Source organism: Homo sapiens, chromosome 18, assembly GCF_000001405.40.
Source record: "Homo sapiens chromosome 18, GRCh38.p14 Primary Assembly".
In the NCBI taxonomy this organism is placed as follows: domain Eukaryota; kingdom Metazoa; phylum Chordata; class Mammalia; order Primates; family Hominidae; genus Homo; species Homo sapiens.
The window spans coordinates 1,127,711-1,148,131 of record NC_000018.10 but is presented as its reverse complement, the minus strand read 5'-3'; the positions used below and the strand labels follow the sequence as shown (position 1 = coordinate 1,148,131).

Genomic DNA, 20,421 nt, shown 5'->3' with positions numbered 1-20,421 from the left:
GCTGGCTCTGAACCCAGTTCAGCATTAGGATTTGCCTAAGAGTTGCAGTCCTTGTGGTTTACACTGCCTTTCCAGTTTATTTAGAGCCCCAGGGCTCTTTAGCCCACAGTGGCGAGGCTTGCCAGAACTCAAGTTCCAACCACTGCTATGGGCAATTCCCCTCTGCCTAGGGCTGGTTTAAAAACTCCCTCTGTGAGCAGGTTTCAGCCAGTTTGGCTTTCTGCTATGACAGGGCACCACTGAGTTCAATGCAATGTCTCACAGTTGCTGTACTCTCCCTCTCCCAGGCTCAGAAATTCTCCCTCTGAGCCAGGTGGTCACTGCTGGGAAATGGGGGAGGGGTGGTGTCAGTGATTCAAGAGTCTCTCTGGCCCTCCTCAGTGCCTCTTTGAGCTACATGAAGCTAAAACCAGGTACTGTGAGTTTTCACTTGATTTGGGGTTCTTACGAAGGTGCTTTCTTTTGTATATAGTTGTTAAATTGGTGTCCTTGCAGCAGGAGCAACTGGTGGAGCCTTCTGTTCTGCCATCTTGCTCTACCACTTTCTCTCATATATTTATTTAACAAATATTTTTTGAATATCTGTTTAATGCCAGGTCCTGGCCTGGATTCTGGGGATGTATCAGAAAATGAGGCATAGTGTTTACCATTCTCAGTTGACATGTCAGTGGTGAAGACAAAGAAGTAAACAGAAACTATGATACACGTGTGCATAATGAGCACTTTGAAAAGGAAAATACAAAGTAGAATGGGTGTGTGTGGCAGGGGTTGGAGCCACCTGCCACAATATGGCGCAGTCTGGAAAGATTCCTGGAAAAAGTAACATCTAAGATGAGACCTGAAGGATGAATAGGAGGTACACAGGCAAATGAGAGAGAGAAGTAGTAAGGCAAAAATCCTTCAAGATAGAACTGTATCTGCAAAGGCCCAGGAGTAAGGGAAAATAAGCCGCTTTAGGAAGTTAAAGAATGATAGCCACATACAAAAGGTCTAAAAAGTGCAGGCATTGATAACTTTTTATGGGCAAAATCTTATTAAAGAAAGTACAGTGACATTGAATATGTGTTTTAAAACAGTAAATTAAAATTGTGTATTTAAAAATAAATATTACTTTGTTAAACATTTGTATAAAAGCAGAATCCTTAATGGCATAAAAGTAGAAACATCACAAATATCCATTGACTGAGAACAGATGAATCAAACTGTGGTATATTCACACAACAATGAATTATGACTATCTGAAACAACATAGGTACAGCTTGAAATGATAATGTTTAGCCAAAAAAGCATGTCCCAATAAACTACAGGGTATGTAGAGTTCACTAACAAATAAAGCCAATTGGCATACTTAGACATATGTATATGTATGATAAAACTATAAAGAAACAATTAATGATAAATGTAAGTTTTGGAATAGTGATTACCATTGTGGCATGGAGTAATGTAGAGGGCAGGGAGGCAGAGAGATGGGTAGAAGGAAGAGAATTAATAGGGAACTGAAAATGTTTTAATGTTGTAGTTTTGTATTTGGAAGTGGGCTCATAAATGTTCCTTACACAATTATTATTTATAACTACTAAATGTTATAAAGGTTACTTTTTATTTTTCAAATTAATATAGATTATGAAAGATAATAAAGGAAAAAAAACCCAATCCTAATTCTAGCCATATTCAGTTGTTCAGAAAATATTTCCAAGTCATCAGGACATTTTGTCTGCTAAAGCAGATGCTTCTACTAATCACATGACCCTATATCTTCATAACATTTTTATTTAATTTGACATTGTTAGTAATTTGAATAAGATCCAAATTATTAATCACAGAAAAGTAGAAACATTTCATCTATTCATTGACAAAGAATGAACAAATAAAACTGTACTGTATTGATAGAATTCAGTAAGTTGAATTAAATTTAATCGCATATTTGCTATCTTGTCTTTATAAGCACCCACAAAATGAGCCCTCTTTCACTGGTGACCTCAAGGCTTGGCTTGTACGTAAATTTTTGCACTGCACCATCCACACATCAAACCACACATCTACTAGGGAATGAAAAATTGATAGCCTTCACCTAAAGGATTCTGAAAAGACCTCATAGGCATAATAGATTGATAAAATTTAATATCTATTTGTTCAAATATTTTTTAGCATATATTGAGTCCCAAGCACTCAATATTCTAGGTATTTCTAGGTAATAGAAATAAGTCAGAGTGAACAGGCAACCTACAAAATGGGAGAAAATTTTCGCAACCTACTCATCTGACAAAGGGCTAATATCCAGAATCTACAATGAACTCAAACAAATTTACAAGGAAAAAACAAACAACCCCATCAAAAAGTGGGCAAAGGACATGAACAGACACTTCTCAAAAGAAGACATTTATGCAGCCAAAAAACACATGAAAAAATGCTCATCATCACTGGCCATCAGAGAAATGCAAATCAAAACCACAATGAGATACCATCTCACACCAGTTAGAATGGCAATCATTAAAAAGTCAGGAAACAACAGGTGCTGGAGAGGATGTGGAGAAATAGGAACACTTTTACACTGTTGGTGGGACTGTAAACTAGTTCAATCATTGTGGAAGCCAGTGTGGCGATTCCTCAGGGATCTAGAACTGGAAATACCATTTGACCCAGCCATCCCATTACTGGGTATATACCCAAAGGACTATAAATCATGCTGCTATAAAGACACATGCACACGTATGTTTACTGTGGCATTATTCACAATAGCAAACACTTGGAACCAACCCAAATGTCCAACAATGATAGACTGGATTAAGAAAGTGTGGCACATATACACCATGGAATACTATGCAGCCATAAAAAATGATGTGTGTCGCAAGAACAAAAAACCAAACACCACATATTCTCACTCATAGGTGGGAATTGAACAATGAGATCACATGGACACAGGAAGGGGAATATCACACTCTGGGGACTGTTGTGGGGTGGGGGGAGGGGGGAGGGATAGCATTGGGAGATACACCTAATGCTAGATGACGAGTTAGTGGGTGCAGCACACCAGCATGGCACATGTATACATATGTAACTAACCTGCACAATGTGCACATGTGCCCTAAAACTTAAAGTATAATAAAAAATAAATAAATAAATAAAATAAAAAATAAAAAAGAAATACAATAGTGGACAAGAAACATAAGGTCCTGTTCCTAGGGAGCTCACATTTTCTTTGAGAAACACACATGCTTCCAAACAGCTTGTGTATGAAAGTCTGTAGCTCATGGAGAAGTACTGGCTAGAGATTTAAGTGTTAGAATTGTCATAGTGTTGCAGGAAGTCAGGGATCCCGAACGGAGGGACTGGCTGGAGCCGCAGCAGAGAAACATAACTTGTGAAGATTTCATGGACATTTACCAGTTCCCAAATAATACTTTCATAATTTCTTATGCCTGTCTTACTTTAATCTCTTAATCCTGTTATCTTCATAGGCTGAGGATGTACATCACCTCAGTGCCACTATGATAATTGTGTTAACTGTACAAATTGATTGCAAAACATGTGTGTTTGAACAATATGAAATCAGTGCACCTTGAAAAAGAACAGAATAACAGCAATTTTCAGGGAACAAGGGAAGACAACCATAAGGTCTGACTGCCTGCGGGGTCGAGCAAAATAGTGCCATATTTTTCTTCTTGCAGAGAGCCTATAAACGGACGTGCAAGTAGGGAAGATATTGCTAAATTCTATTCCTAGCAAGGAATATTAATAATTAATACGCTGGGGAAGGAATGCATTCCTGGAGGGGAGGTCTATAAATGGCTGCTCTGGGAGTGTCTGTCTTATGTGGTTGAGATAAGGACAGAAGTATGCCCTGGTCTCCTGCAGTACCCTCAGGCTTACTAGGGTGGGGAAAAACCCTGCCCTGGTAAATTTGAGGTCAGACCAGTTCTCTGCTCTCAAACCCTGTTTTCTGTTGTTTAAGATGTTTATCAAGACAATACGTACACCACTGAACATAGACCCTTATCAGTAATTCTGCTTTTGCCCTTTGACTTGTGATCTTTGCTTTTGCCATTTGCCTTGTGATCTTTGTTGGACCCTTATCAGAAGTTTCTGATTTTGCCCTTAGAAGCATGTGATCTTATTCTCCTTTTTGCCCTTTGAAGCATGTGATCTTTGTGACCTACTCCCTGTTCTTGCACCCCCCTCCCCTTTTCTAATCCTTAATAAAACTTGCTGGCTTTAAGGCTCAGGTGGGCATCACGGTCCTACTGATAGCTGATGTCACCCCCAGAGGCCCAGCTGTAAAATTCCTCTCTCTGTACTCTCTCTCTTTCTCAGCCGGCCAACACTTATGGAAAATAGAACCTATGTTGAAATATTGGGGGTGGGTTCCCCTGATATCATAGATTTTAAAAGTCATTGCCAAAGAGAATAAAAGAGAGCAGGGAGAAGGAAAAGGAAATATGAAAGGAGAACAGAGAGAGATGGAAAGAGGAGGACCCAGGACTGAGATGTTAGGACCTCAGTTGAAGATAATTCAAAAGAGGAGCCAGGAGGATCTCCAGACCCATATATCCAAATTCCTTGGATACTAATGATCCCTGCTTGGCTCTCTCACATGCATTTCAAAATTAACATGTCCAAAACTGAAACTGAGACCGAATGACAAGTACTTTAGGAAGATCACAAGAAGAAACCATTGTCATAGAAGCAAATGGAGTAGAACATTTCCAAAAGAAGAGGGGAGTCATTCTTATGAATTGCTGGAGAAAAGTTAAAGAGGGTAACAGATCAAATCCCTAATTGTGCTATCACCAGTATGGTTAGCAAAACCATGATGGATGAGAAGCACAGTGAGGATAAAGTCTAGAGTCTGACTTAAGGAGTAAGCCATGCCAGACCATGAAGAATCATATAAATCAAATGGAAAGGAGGGTTGATTCCTCAGGTCAGTGGAGAGCCATTGAAGCATTTGCTAGCAGGGGAACTGTCTATTCAGATCTCCACTATCTGCACTTTAAAAGTATCACTGTGACTACACAAACAAAATAATCTTCACTCCCATATTGTTTTTTAAAAATTTTTTATTTCCATAGGATTTTGGGAAAGAGGTGGTATTTGGTTACATGAGTAGGTTCTTTAGTGGTTATTCTTGAGATTTTCTTCCTAACTTACAGACTGGAGAATTATCTAAGAGTCAGTCAGGACAGAACAATGTTTCCTTTTGAGTTAACGTATAGAGATGCTTAAAGCCAAAGCAAGATGCACAGTTGCAGCAACAAAGAAGGCAATATGAAAAGGGCTGGGGTGAGGGGAAACACACTAAAACATGATTTCGGGTGACATGGTGCCTTTAACTCTACACATCAGCTTGTTTCTTTTAAATTAATCTCAAACTAAAAAAATCAGACCACACTTTGAAAATTCAAAAGTGACACAGGGAACCAATTTGTGTTAATTATATTCTTTAGAAAACAAAGGATTATCACCTTAGAAGTCTCAAAATATAAAATTTGGGGGACCTCAGGTGCATGCGTATTCCTTAGGAATATTTTTACATTTATGTTCATTTTTATTTTGAGAAATTTTCCCCCAGAATTTGAAGTAATTTATTCTTCAGGTATCAGTAGCCAAGTGTTCTCTCTCTGGGTCTCAGGCATTTGGGTTGAGAAGCACAGGTTCTTTCAAAATTCCACTAAGCCAGCTGCTAATGGGCTAATAAGTCACTTCAGAGTGTACGCACCAGAGTGATGGACACCAGAACAGCTGCTCTCTACCTGGTTTGGATAAGCTCTGAAGTTCACTTATTCAGCTGGTGAGAAAAGCAGCAAAATTGGGTCACAATCAGAATTTTCAACGGAAGAATTTATGGAATGCTTCCCAATTTATTTTAAGATAGACTTCTTTAAAATCTACCTTCCTGGGAATAGAATACCTGACAATACAACACGAAATGATGGTTTTCTCAATTCAGTTCTGAAGTATGAATCATTCTTTCCTCTCTCTTGGCCCCAAAAGATATAGTGAATGAGAAAATCAATAAATGAATTTAAAGTAAAAAAATCTGATTTTAAATGAAAACTGAAACTCATTGACTACCTAGCACTGGAAAGATTATTGAACTTTGAACATGGTATGTTTCCTTACCTATGAAATGGGGATAAAAAGACCTCATATCTCAAAGGACTTCTAATGGGAAAAGTAAATAGTATCTTAAAATCCTAGGGATGATTTCACTTCCAGTTTGGATGCAGAAAATGACAAGATACTGTTACTCGCATCTGAATGATGTAACAAGCCACATAGGCTACAAAATCATGGATATTTTAGAAACACATCAGAGACCTAAGGAACCAAAATAACTCAAATGACTCAAACTCCAAAAAATGAAGAACCTTCAGAAGAGAGAAAAGACTGTTCCTATCCCTGCAGAAGAGGAGGAGATAGGGAGAAAAACAATGAATTTCTAATTGGTGCATGTGTAGTAGTATGAAAGGCTAGAATCCTTAGGAGTTCCAGACACAAAGCATGTCTCCAACTACCTGCCAACTCTCCCTCACAAGCCATCAGTTAGTGCTTCAATGTCATATGGCAAAAGTGGAGTGGGAGAGACAGAGAAAGGATGTCACCCATAGGTACTTGGGATTTTCATTCAACGAAGGGGCCAGGCAAGAGAGTTAAAAATGTTCCAAGCCACCCACACTTTCAAATGCCAAAGACTGGAGGAGAAGCCAGCTGAGAGTGCCCACACCAAGGCATCATTAGCCTTCACAGAGGGTAGAGTTTCCACCTTCCAAATATCTGAGGGCAGAAAAGCAGCACTAAAAAGTGATCTCTGGTAGTTCAGAAAGCAGGGTGAGATTGAAATGCAGTAACCCAAAAAACAGAGAGCAAAGTTGTAAAGCAAGAAGAGATCTCTCAACTTGCCTGTGAATCAAAGGTAGATCTCTGAAATACTGCCAACACTTAAGTCCCAGGCCTGGGAAACCAAAGTTCTCATTCCATACTTGCTTTCAATATTTGAAAAAAGTAGTGAAATGAATCAGATAAAGCCCAGACTCAGGTAAAAAACTTTAGATTGACTAATTCCACACAACAGTGGCCTGACCTAAGAAAAAATATGCTCCTTTTACAAGGTAAATATCATTTACCTCACTCTGTAGTATTATTTTATACAAAGTGACTAACACAAAAATTATGAAGAACTGAAAATTAAATGTTACAATATTAATTTACATATTCAAATCACTCAATACATTTTGGTAGAATAAACTCAAAGGGACCTACATTTAAATGCACTATAGTCAAATTGACAGTGATTGATAGTGATAAATACACCATAGTCAAAAACAGAAAACAGGAAAGAAAAACAATTTATCACATTTAAGGGATCTTCAATAACATTTGTAGTTGACTTCTCATCAGAAACCATGTATGCCAGAAGACAGCAGAATGACATCTTTAAAGTATTAAAATAAAAAGATTGTCACTGAGGTGATAGATAACACAATTACCTTGATTTGGTCATTACACATGGCATACAAGTATCAAAATATCACATTTATCCCAAAAATATATATAATTATTATATATCAATAAATAAAATAAAATTTAACAAGACTGTCAACCGAGGATTCTATATACATCTAAACAATCTCCTTAAAAAATGAAGAAACTGCATGATCCGAGATAAATACAAACACATAATTTGTTGTTAGCACACCTACACTACTTTAGGCTTTAGGCTGACATGAAAAGACACCAGACAATAACTTGAATTTACACAAAGAAATTCCCACAAAGCAACAATAAAGATAAAAATGTAGGTATTCTGAAATATGATATAAATGCACTTTTGTATATAACTCTTCTCTAATGTATTTTAAAAGATATCTGCATAATTATACTACACTGTTGATGCTATTATTATTTATACAGATGTAGCTTGTATGACAATAAGACTACAAATGACAGGAGAGAAAACTGTGGTAAATTAGAACAAAGCGTTGGTATGCCACTGAAACTAAGTTACTGTTAATTCAAACTAAATTATTTAAGTTATGATACTGTCATCTCAGGGCAACTACTAAGAGAATAACTGAAAATATATAGGAAGAGAAACAAAAAATAATAATTTAAAATATCCACTAGAAAATATCTATTTGTACAATAGAGGGAACAAATAGAGAAATAGAAATAAAACATGTAGGAAACACAGTAAAATGACAGTCATAAAACCTATTTTATCAGTACATATATTAAATATAAACAGAGCTAATCAGATAAATATAAACATTTAATCAGAAGGCAGAGATTGGTAAAATTGATTTTTTTAATAATCTAATTATTTGTTGCCTACAAAACATACACTTTAGATTCAAAGACATATCACGTTGAAGTATAAAAAATATATATAACATACAAGCAGTTAAAAAAATTGCTGGAATAGTTTTAATAATACTGGACAAAATAGTAGTCAAAATAATAACAGTAGTTAGAGAAAAAGAAAGATATTTTAATGACAACAAGGTAAATCCATCAGAAAAATAATAATTATTATTACAATGTAATCACCTAATAACAGAGACCCAAAAATTAATGGAATTGAAGAGAAACAGAGATAATTCAACAATACTAGTTGGAGACTTCAATAACCCACTTTCAACAATAAATAAAACTAGGCAGAAGATCAATATATAAATAGAAAATGTTAAAAATTGGATCTAAGAGACATCTATAGAGCACTGCACAAAACAAAACATACATTCTCATCAAGCACACATGAAACATTCTCCAGGATAGACCACATAGAGGGCATAAAACAAACCTCAATAAATTGCACATGATTGAATCACACAAAGTATGTTCTCCAACTACAATGGGATGAAGTAAAAATTCAACAAAAAATTGAGGAGAAAATAACAAGGAAAATGTTTAAAACTATGAAAAACTGAAAATGAAAACCCAAAATATTAAAACTTATTGGATTCAATGAATGCAGGTACTTAAAGGAAATGTTACAGCTGCGAACGCTTACTCAAAGATCTTAAAAAAATAACCTAACCTTACACCTTAACAAATTAGAAAAAGAGGAACAAACCATATCCAAAGTAAGGAGATTGAAAGAAATAATAAAGATTAGATCAAGAATAAAGAGAACAGAAAAACAACAGACAAAACTGACAGTTGAAGCTTTGAAAAGATCAACAATTTGACAAAACTTTAGCAAGACTAATGAAGGAAAACAGAAAGAAGACTCAAATTATAAAATCAGGAATGAAAAATGAGACATTACTACAGACATTACAGAAATAGGAAGGATGATAAGGGAATCCTATTTTTAAAAAAACTGTATGCAACAAATTAGACAATCTAGATGAAATGGACAAATAGTTAGAAAGTCACATATTACAGAAACTGTTTCAAGAAGAAATAGAAAATTCGAATAGAAAAAGTCCTGACCCAGTAGGACTTATCCCAGAAATACAAAGTTGGTTTAAGATTTCAAAATCAATTAATGTAATAAATGCCATTAATAGAATAACAGACAAAACCACATGATTATTACAATAGACAGAGGCAACATTTGACAAAATTCCATACTGTTTCATGACTTTTTAAAAAAGTAAATACACTAGGAATAGAACGAAATGCCCTCAACTTGATAAAAGACATCTACAAAAAAACGCATAACATACTACTTAATGGTGAAAGCCTGGATACTTCACTTCTAAGATCAGAAGAAATACAAGCATATCTGCTCTCAACACCTCTGGTCAATAGAGCGTTTCTGTGTGTATATATATACACACACACATATATACATATATATAATTTTTATACATATACATATATGTGTACATGTGTGTATATACATATAAGTATGCATATATATGTGTGTGTGTATCCATTTATATAATTTGGGTATTGTTATGTAATATATATAGTCAGAACAAATGCAAATATAGTTTTACATATTCCCAAGGAATCCACTAACAATCCATTAGAATTAAGAAAAAAAATTGGCAAATGTTATGATCTGAATGTCCCCCCAAATTTGTGTACTGAAATGTGAAATTGTCAATGTGATAGTATTAAGAGGTGGGACCCTTTGAAGGTGATTAAGTCCTGTAGGAAGAGCTTATAAGCACTGGAGGGAACTAGTGGTCATCCCTTTCTGCTCTTCCACCATGTAAGAAAACAGTGTTTGTTCTCTTTTGCCTTTCTGTCCCTTTCACCATGTGAGGACACAGCATTCAAGACACGATTTTGGAAGCAGAGATTAAGCCCTCACCAGATATTAGAACTGCCAGTATCTTGATCTTGGACTTCCCAGCCTCAAGAACTGTAAGAAATAAATTTATGTTTTTTATAAATTGCCCAGTCTCAGATTTTTTGTAACAGCACAAACAGACTAAGATAGAAAGATTGCAGGAAGGAAGATCAATGTACAATGACTAATTGTATTTCTAAATGGTAACATTTAATGAAATGAAGAAACAATTTTATTTGTAATAGCACCAAAAAGAATAACATCCTTATGAATAAATTTAACAAAAAGAAGTGTATAACTTATACTCTGAGAACTACAAAGCACTGTTGAAGGTAATTAAAGAAGACCTAAATAAATGGAAAGACTTCCCATGTGCAAGGATTAGAAGATTTAATATTGCTAAGATAGCATTACTTCCCAAATAAATCTACAGATTCAACACAATCTCTATCAATATCCCAGTAGCTGACTTTGTTGCAGAAGTTGACAAGCTTATCCAAATAAATAAAATTGATTTGGAAATTCAAGGAGCCCATAATAACAAAACAATCTTGAAAAAGAACAAAGTTGGAAGATTCATACTAACTGATTTCAGTATTTTCTACAAAGCCACAGTAATTGAGACAATATAGTACTTGAATGAGAATAGACATGTGAGACAGTGGAATAGAATTGAAAGTCTAGAAATAAATCCTCATATTTATGATGAATTTATTTTTGACAAGGATTGCAAGACAATTCAATGGTAAAAAAAAAAAAAAAAAGCTAATTCAACAAATGGCACTGGGACAATTGGATGCAAAAGAATGAAGTTGAAACCTTACCTAACAACATATATTTTAAAAAAAAATTCAAAACGGATCAAAGTCCTGAATGTAAGGGCTAAAACTATGTAACTGTTGGGAAAAAAAATAGAGGCATAAATACTCATGGCCCTGGATTAGGCAATGGTTTCTTATATATGACACCAAAAGCACAAGCAATCAAAGAAAGGTGGTAAATTGGATTTCATCAAAATGGAAAACTTTTGTGCTTCAGAGACACCATCAGGAAAGTGAAAAGACAACCTGAAGTATACCAAAAAAGTTTTGCAAATAATATATCAAATATGGACTTTTAACTAGAAAATATAAATAACTATTATAAATTAGTAATGAAAAGACAAGCCAGCTAAAAATGGGCAAAAGATCTGAGCAGACACTTCCCAAAATATATGTGTTCACACATATATACAAAAGACCAATCAATATGCACATGAAAAAAGTCTCAATATCCTTAACCATCAGGCAAATGCAATCACAATAAGATATCACTGTATACACACTAGGGTAGCTATAATAAAAAGATAATAGTAAGTGTTGTCAATGATATGGAGAAATTAGAATCTTTACACCTTGTTGTAGGAAATTTAAAATGGTTAACCACTTTGGAAAAGGGTCTGGCATTTCCTCAGAAGTCTAAATATAGGGTTATGATATGATCCAGCAATTCCACTCCTAGGTATATATGCAAGAGAAATGGAACATATGTCCATACAATAATATATACACAAATGTTCATAGCAGCATTATTCATAATAATCAAAAATGAAAAAGATCCAAATGTATATCAATGAATGAATGAATAAATAGAATGTGGTATATACATAAAATTGAATATTATTTGGCAATAAAAAAGAATGAAGTACTGAAGCATGTTATAACATGCACGAACCCTGAGAATATGATGCTAAGTGAAAGAAGCCATCAGAAAGGATCGCATAGTGTCTGATTCCTCCTATATTAAATAGCCAGAACAGGTAAATCTGGAGATAAAAAGCAGATTAGTGGTTTCCTAGAGCTGGAGGGCAATAGTGACACAGAATTGGGGCTTTGGGACTGTTGCCTCTTGGGGTAATGAAAATGTTCTAAAATTGATTGTGTTGACGGTTATACAACTTTTTATTATACTTTGAATTTTTATTATACTTGTTATTATACTTTGAATATGAATTTTATACTTTAAATGGGTGAATTGTATGGTTTGTGAATTATATCTCAATAAATCTTTTAAAAGGTAAATTGTATTTCTAATTCTAACAACGAACAATTGGAAAATGGAATTTTTAAAAACAGTACCACCTAAAAGAAGACGGACAGTATCAAGTGACAGTGAAGATATAAAGTAGTTAAAACCCTCATATATTACCAGTAAGGGTATATATTGGTGAAATCACCTTCAAAAACCATTTGACAGAATCTACCAAAACTTAGTAAATGCTTAGTCTATGAGCTAACAATTCCACTTCTGTGTATATGCCCCAAGAAAATGAGTGCTATGTCTACCAAAAGCCATGTACAAGACTGTTCACATCAGCTTTATTAGTAATAGCAAAAACTGAAAATAAACCATACGTCTATCAAGAGTAGAATGAATAAGTAATCTGTGACTTACTCAGATCTTGAATACTACTCAGCAAATTTTTAAAAATAAACTACATATAGATGTTTGTATAAATCTACTAGACATAATATTGAGTAAACAAAACCAGATACAAAAGGAGACAAGTACATGATTCTATGTACAGAGTATTCAAAATTAGTTTAAGCTTAGTCTGTGGTGATAGAAATCAGAATGGGGGCACCTGTGAGTGGGGTTAAGCATAAGACTGTCAAGAAGCACAAGGGAGCCTTCTGGAATGCCGCAAATATTTTATAACTTGATATGAGTAGTGTGTAAATACGTAAAAATTCATCAAAATTAAATCTTTGCACTTGTACTTTGAGTTTAAAATGTTTAAAGGAAAGGCCATAAGAGTTAGCACTTAAATAATTGTTCACCTTCGTGAAAGGAGTTTTTACAATGGTAGAGGCAAAAGCCAGGTGGTAGTGAGTTGGGGAGTGGATGGAGAGGTAAAGAAGTGGAGTCTGTGTGTAAAGACTAATTGTTCAAGGTATTGAACAATGAAAGGAAGGAAAAAGATGGGCTTGAGAAGTAGGATCTAGAAAATAAATCTCTACTATTGGTTTAAAGAAGGAGACACTGGAACATGTTTAAAAGTTAGGAGAAAGAACGCGACAGATGATGAAAGCACTAGAACTGATTGTTTAGCACTAATGGATAGAAGCTCAGGCCTTTGAGTCAGTCTTGGGTTCAAGTCCTAACTCATTTACTCCCAATAAGACTTTGTACATGTTCTTTAAGCTCTTCAGCATCAGTTCCTTGTCCCTAAAATGGAAGGAGATTATTTTAACATTTTTAATGCTGCTGTGAGCATTTCCTGAATCTGAGCTCAATAAATATCTATTACACCAATTGACGGAGATTAGAGAAAATAGAATTTTAAAAACAGGTAGAGGAATTGAACTTCTGAAATATCAGAAAAGAAGAAAATTCTACATTTCAAATTGTTGGCATGTGGTAGAAAAAGTAAGTTAACAGCAGATTCTTTACTTTTTCACAGTGAAAACTGTCTTACTAAAATAGAGCCAACATAAGGCTTGTGACTTACATAACAGGTTATCAACCCCTTTATAAGACTGAAGGAAACTGAGGTTTTGACTTTCAAGTAACATAACACTAGAGTAGAAAGTCTGGTTTTTGCTGGTTCTTATTTCCACTACAGCCCTTTCCGCATATGGAAAGTGAAAGGGCTACAATTTGTATTGTCTTAAAAACAAGAAATATGAGAATGTTCATGTCAGTCTGGAATAAAACTATTCTATACAATGGCTATTTTAAAATATTGGAATTAGAAATATTTAGTGGTCTAATGTTTTCAAGCATAAAGAAACTGCATTGCTTACCTTTACATGTGGAAACAAGAAATTTTCCATTAAAAAGGAGAGACTAATGAGATAAGCGTGTATCAAAGAGTTGACTGTTTTTAAAACTTGGATGTTTCCATACATTGCAATCAAAACAGTTTCAGTGTTTTTAAGTGAATAAATTCACCTTTACTTATTTGAGGGAAGATCCACATTCTTTTACAGGGTGCAAGAAGGAAACAAACCTGGAGATGTCTTCTTTCCACAAGGCTTTTCTTTCCCAGTTATTTCCAGACCCTAAAAGACAGGGGGAGTGTGACAAGCTGAGAAATGCAGTTCCAAGTAATTGACTAGGCCAGTGTTCTATTGTCATAGAAGCAAAGCACATCAAATTAATGAGGCCCATAGAGACCTGGAAGGCTGGGACCAATCAGAAGCCTTCCTTGGCATGCTTCAGCATGTGCTTTGGGCGACCTGGCAGCCCTTTTGTTTGTATCCCAGACAACCTGAAATTTCCAGGAAAGAGAAATCATCTTTATATTCTTACCGTGTGTGCCAAGTTAGGTTTCCAAAGAGCAAATGTTTAAAGCCCAAAAGTCACTATTTGAGCTCTGTGCCAGGTGTGGGGAAAAAATAATTTAAATAACTTGTTTAGCCTTATTTGCTGATGTTTATTAGTATAAAGCATGCTGTTAAAAATGCAAGGAAAAGTCAAGCATGGTGGTGCAGGCCTGTAGTCCCACCTGCTCAGGAGGCTGAGGCAGGAGGATCATTTAAGCCCAGGAGTTTGAGGCCAGCCAAGGGAACATAGTGAGACTTAAGAAAGCACCTAGGAGTCAGAAAAATCCTCATAATTCTGCCATTGGCCACTTTTCCCTTTAGGCAGCTCAGGTAACTTATCTGGGCCCCTGTTTTCTCTTTTGTAAAAAAAAATATTAAATAGATGGTCTTTTCCTTCCAGATCCAAAATTCTACCAACTACAAAGATGAAATTTTGAAATATTATCTAAACTTTGAAAAGTAAATTTTTTTAAAGATGAGCAACAAGTTTTTTACATCTCCACTTCTAGCCTGAAAAACCTAAGGATCTAAAATGAATGGTATGACATTTAAAAACCACAGAGTTTTTTAAAAATTGAGATTTCCATAATATAAGAATTATTTGCAAATGGACAAGAATAATACAATAATACACAAAAGCGGAAATAATTTTTACAATGATGGAATATAGGTATGTGTGTGGGTTTTTTCCTTTTAAATAAACTTATTGAAAACACTCTTACATCTTTGACTATTGGAAATAAAATGGTGGATTTGGGACCCAGATCCCAGTCTTCACTGGGCATCTTCCTCTATTGGCTCCAGTACACTCCTCCGTAGAGGCTAATGCTCCAGCATATTGAAATACTGCTGCTGCGGGTGCAGATCCTGGCTCACCTTGAGCTCTCAGCTTTGAGTAGCCAAGGCAGCACCCCCAGGATAACCAGAGAGACCAGCCACCACTTCCCAAGGCAAGAAAAATAATAATTATATGAAGGAAGAAATTTTTTGGATGTCTTTTTCAAAATGGAAAGATAAAACACCCAAGTGAATAAAGACATTAAAAATAGAGTTTATCTTCTTGAGATTTAAAGTGGCAGTAGAATGGCCCAGTGGATAGATTTTGTGCTTCTTGGAGCAAATTAAAACATGTCATGATCTTGGTGACATGAGTACTGTGATCTGAACACATTCATAAATAGGTCCCAAGTAAGAACATCTAGTTTGAGATTTTGAGATTTTGAAAGGCCAGTTCTTAGTAGAGGTGAAATGAGCTAATTAGCTGAAAAATTATTCAATAAGCAAAAATTGCTTTAAAATATATGGCAGGGTTTTATAATTACATAATTTAATTGTGAGAAGCAGGATTTCTGAGATGATGTTGTGAATAGTTCAGTAAAACCTCTCCACTAGAGCGATATCAAGTATGCGGGTCAAAATTAGCAAAAACAATTATTTAAAGTCTCTAAAGACTAATCAAAGACCTTACAACAAATTGAAAAGCCCTTACTCAAAAAAATCTCTGGAAACTCAGTAAGAACTGTGGAGGCTGCAACATTCAAACTAGAGACTGCACCCATCCACCAACACCTCTCCCTTGCAGAAGAGTTTCAGTGGGCCCAGTGGGTTTGGTACCCAACTGGAAGTTCCTATCCTCCTCAGCTCTGTGGGATGGAATTACTATTCTGGGTGGTTTCAGCAGCCCGTGAATATCAGCAGATCCCACTTTCTACATATCTGTATACAGAGGACCTCTATCAAGCAGTTGGCAACAGCTGGGGGGCAACTTTTGTCACATCAACCCCTGCATTTTGGGTAGGACCCAGGCAGGACAGCTGTTGAAGAATGCAGTCCCCCTTTCCTACACAGTTCTGAGTTGCTCCAGTGGGTGTGGCACCCAAGTGTCAGCTCCCACCTCCACCAGCTTCCTAAGGCAAAGACCATGTGGCAGATGATGAATGTCAGCAGTTTCCACCCTCTCTGGCACTGGGTTACAGCAGATCCATGCTAGCTGGTGGCCAAAACCAAGAGGTGATACCAACCCTTACCTCCCTCCATCCTCCTACACACACAGACCCATCTCTCCAGGGAGGATACAGGTGGGATAGCCAATGAAAATCTAGTTCACCTCTCAGCTCTTACTCTGTTGCATAGAGGTTCTATTCAGGAGAGGATACCAACCAGCCTCAAAGACTGGCAACAACCTGCCCCTTTCAAGGGGCTGAATTTTAATTGTATCAAACTATGGAACAATTAATGCCATACATAGCGTGTTGTCCAAAAAAATACAGCAATCAGCTAGCAATTAGTGGATCCTACAGAGGAATGTGATATGAATAGAGAAAGAGCAGAAGCTGAAACAGAAAAGAAATAGTCAAAAAGAGCCTGATTAAAACCACAGTCACCTCTGGTGATCAGGATTAAAGACTGTGGGCCCATGGCGGTGCCCTCTCAGAAGGGACATCATAGGCTGCACATTACGGGGAATAGATCTCATTAAAGCAGTCCAGCCAAGTTATTAAACAAATAAGGAAGCAAACAATAAGCTCCAAGCAGTGAGAGATCAGTATCCAGAGTTGCTACAATGTATTAATTTAAAGGTCTAGTTATCAAAAAAACAGTAAGGAAACAGGAATGTGTGATCCATATACAGTGAGGAGAATGCAGGCAATAGGAAGGACCTTATTTAAGGGGCCTAGATGTTGGACTTATCAGACAAAGACTTCAAGACAACTACTATTAGTATGTTCAAAGAGCTAAAGGAACCCATGCTTAAAGAGTTAAAGGAATTTATGATGACAGTGTCTCATCAAATAGATAGTATCAGTAAAGAGATAGAAATTATAAAAACGACAAAGAGATAAAAATTATAAAAACAAAAATTTTGTAGTTGATAAGTGAAATTACCAAACATAAAAAACTTAGAGGGGCTTAACAGTGATTTGAGCTCTCAGAAGAAAAAACTGGCAAAGATAGATCAATAGAGACTAAGCAGTCTCAAAAACAGAAAGAAAAACATAGAAACATGAACAGGACCTCAGAAAAAGGTGGGACATCATTAACACACCAACATATGCATAGTGGGAGTTCCAGGAAAAAAAACGGGGAAAGAAAAAAGATCAAAAATGTATTTGAAGAAATTGTGTCTGAAAATTTTCTAAATTTGATGAAAATCATTAATCCACACATCCAAGAAGCTCAACAAACTTCATATAGAATAAATACAAAGAGCTGTTATCCTCACGTCATAGTCAAAATATTGATATACAAAGAGGAAATCTTGAAAGCAGCAAGGGAAAAAAAGATACATCATGTTAAGGGGACCTGAACAAGGTTAACAGCTGGCTTCTCATCAGAAACTTTAAAAGCCAGAGGGCAATGAAACGACATATTTGAAGCCACAACTAGAGTCACACCACTTCATACCCATTAGGATGGCTATATTCAAAAAGGAGGAAATAACACATTTTGGAAAGGATGTGAAGAAATTAGAAGCAATACATTGTTAGTGGGAATGTAAAATGGTGCAGCTATTACAGAAACTACTTTGGCAGTTCCTCAAAAAGTTAAACGTTGAGTTACTATATGACCCAGCAATTCCACTCCTAGGTACATACACAAGAGAACTGAAAACATATCTACATGAAACTTCTGTGTACATATTTATAGCAGCATTAATCAAAATACCCAAAAAGTGGAAACAAGTCAAATGTCCAAAAACTGATGAATAGGTAAATAAAATGATATATTCATAGATAGAATATTTAGCCATAAAAAGAAATGAAATACTGACGCATAATACAACATGAGTGAACCTTAAAACATTATGCTAAGTAAAAGTAGACTGACAAAAATCCACACATTATATGATTCTATTTATATGAAATGCCCAGAATAAGCAAATGCATTGAAACAGAAAATGGATGCCAAAGACTACGGGGTAGGAGGAATGAATAATGATTGCTAGTGGATGTAGGGTTTCTTTGTGAGGTAATTAAAATGTTCTGAAGTTAGATAGTGATGATGGTTACACAACTTTGTGGATTTAGTAAAAACCACATAACACGCTTTAAAGGAGAGAATTTTATAGCTTCTAAATTATACCTCAATTTTTTCAAATGAAGGCCAAATAAATACACTTCCATATACACAAAAACTGAGACAGTCTGTTGCTCACAGACCCACCTTAGAAGAAATACAAAGGAAAGTTTTCAGGCTGAAGAAAACAGATAAGCAATAATTTGAATCCACACATATAAAACAGAAAGAATGCCGAGAAAGGTATTTCTGTAGTTGATTCTAAAAGATAATATAATTGCACATTTCTTCTCTTTTCTTCTCTTAACTAACTTAAAAAGCAATTCCACAAAACAATATGTATGTGATTGCATTGTGGGGTCTGTTAACACATAGAAATGAAACATATTTGACAATACCAGCACAAAATAGACAGGAAAGAAGAAAATTGTATTGGGATAAGAAAATGACACAGTACAAAAACTCAAAGTCATAAGAAGAAAGGAAGAGACCCAGAAATGGTAAATAAGAAGGTTAATATAGCAAGCTTTATAAATACATATTTGTCTTACTTTCTTCTCTCAGCTCTTTTAATGTAGTTGTTGTTCTCCTTAACAACATAAGAACAAAGGTATTCCAATATATTCCTGGAATTGTCATGACCATGCTACCTGCTACACCTGAGAAAACTTACCATTTGCATAAGGTATTATAAAATATATTCACAGAAAAGTGTACAACATAGATATTATGTCTTGTCCCACATTATTTACCCAATTCTTAATTAGCAAGAGTAATCAAATAAAAAAACCAGGTAATTACCAATATAAATAGCCTTAGAATGATAGTGATTTGGTAAGCATTAAAGCAAAACCCAACCAGTCTGGGGTACAAATATGCCCCATTTCTCAAAAAAAAAAAATTCTTCTGGTATTTTCCCACACATGTATATCATTTAAGGATATAAGAAGCTCTCCAGTGGAGCAAATGAGCTTTCTCAATAGAAAACTGGAGAATGCCATTACTATCACCAAGCAGATATTCTTCCAAGATCCGGTTTTTGTAACAGTGCACTACATATTCCCTATTATCAAAATCTGCCACATTGTGTCTTGAATAATTTTGACTTTCTTAGCTTTCTCTTGACATTATAGCATATCAATGACAGTTTACACTATTCATGGTTTAATAAATAGCTAAAATATAAACTCTCCAGACTTCCAAAAGTGAGAAAAAAATAACACTGCTTAAATTTCAATTCCTCACCTCTCAAGCCAAATATCATTACTGATGAGGATTATACAAACATACATTTGTTAATCCAGTATTTCACAGTACAATATGTTGAGAAACTTGTATGCACATTTCACTAATCAGGATTTATCGCTATGATTTAAAATGAGTCCTCGTACAAGTTGCATGACCAGCCAAGATTAACAAGAAATGGTACTGTGGAAAGCAGCATAATTGTCATCCATTAATTATTTGCAAACTAGAGATTCACAGTGATCCATACACTAAAACAAGAGTGAGAAAACTTGAAAATGTTGGTTTTAGATGTGTCTCAAACTGTTTATTGTGAGGCCTGTTTATTTTGGGGCCTAGCACCCAAAAGAGAGAATAGCTTTGGTGATTAATTCCTTGAGATGCATATAAGACTTTTGTTAAATTATCATCAAGGAGATTTAGAAGGTTCCTAACATAGAGTATTAAGGTTGTGTACTGCCATATTGCAAAAATCTATCACCAATATTAGCCACAGGGACCTGCTCTTTGATAGGCTCGTAAGACTTCAATCTCACCTTTTCAGAAAAGAATTACGACAGAGCCTACATGTGCTGACAGTAACAGCACAAAGGAGGTAGATAAGAA

The 20,421-nt window shown here is 35.5% G+C and overlaps 1 long non-coding RNA gene across 2 annotated transcripts in view; it reads right to left on the bottom strand.

Annotated features, from left to right (window-relative positions):
- The window catches only part of LOC105371953 (uncharacterized), a 155,413-nt gene that overhangs the window by 106,286 nt on the left and 28,706 nt on the right, over nt 1-20,421 (bottom strand). For both annotated transcript variants that reach the window (XR_001753318.2, XR_007066436.1), the window contains exon 2: nt 14,238-14,289. This is a non-coding gene — a long non-coding RNA (uncharacterized LOC105371953). The remainder of the gene's footprint in view (nt 1-14,237; nt 14,290-20,421) is intronic.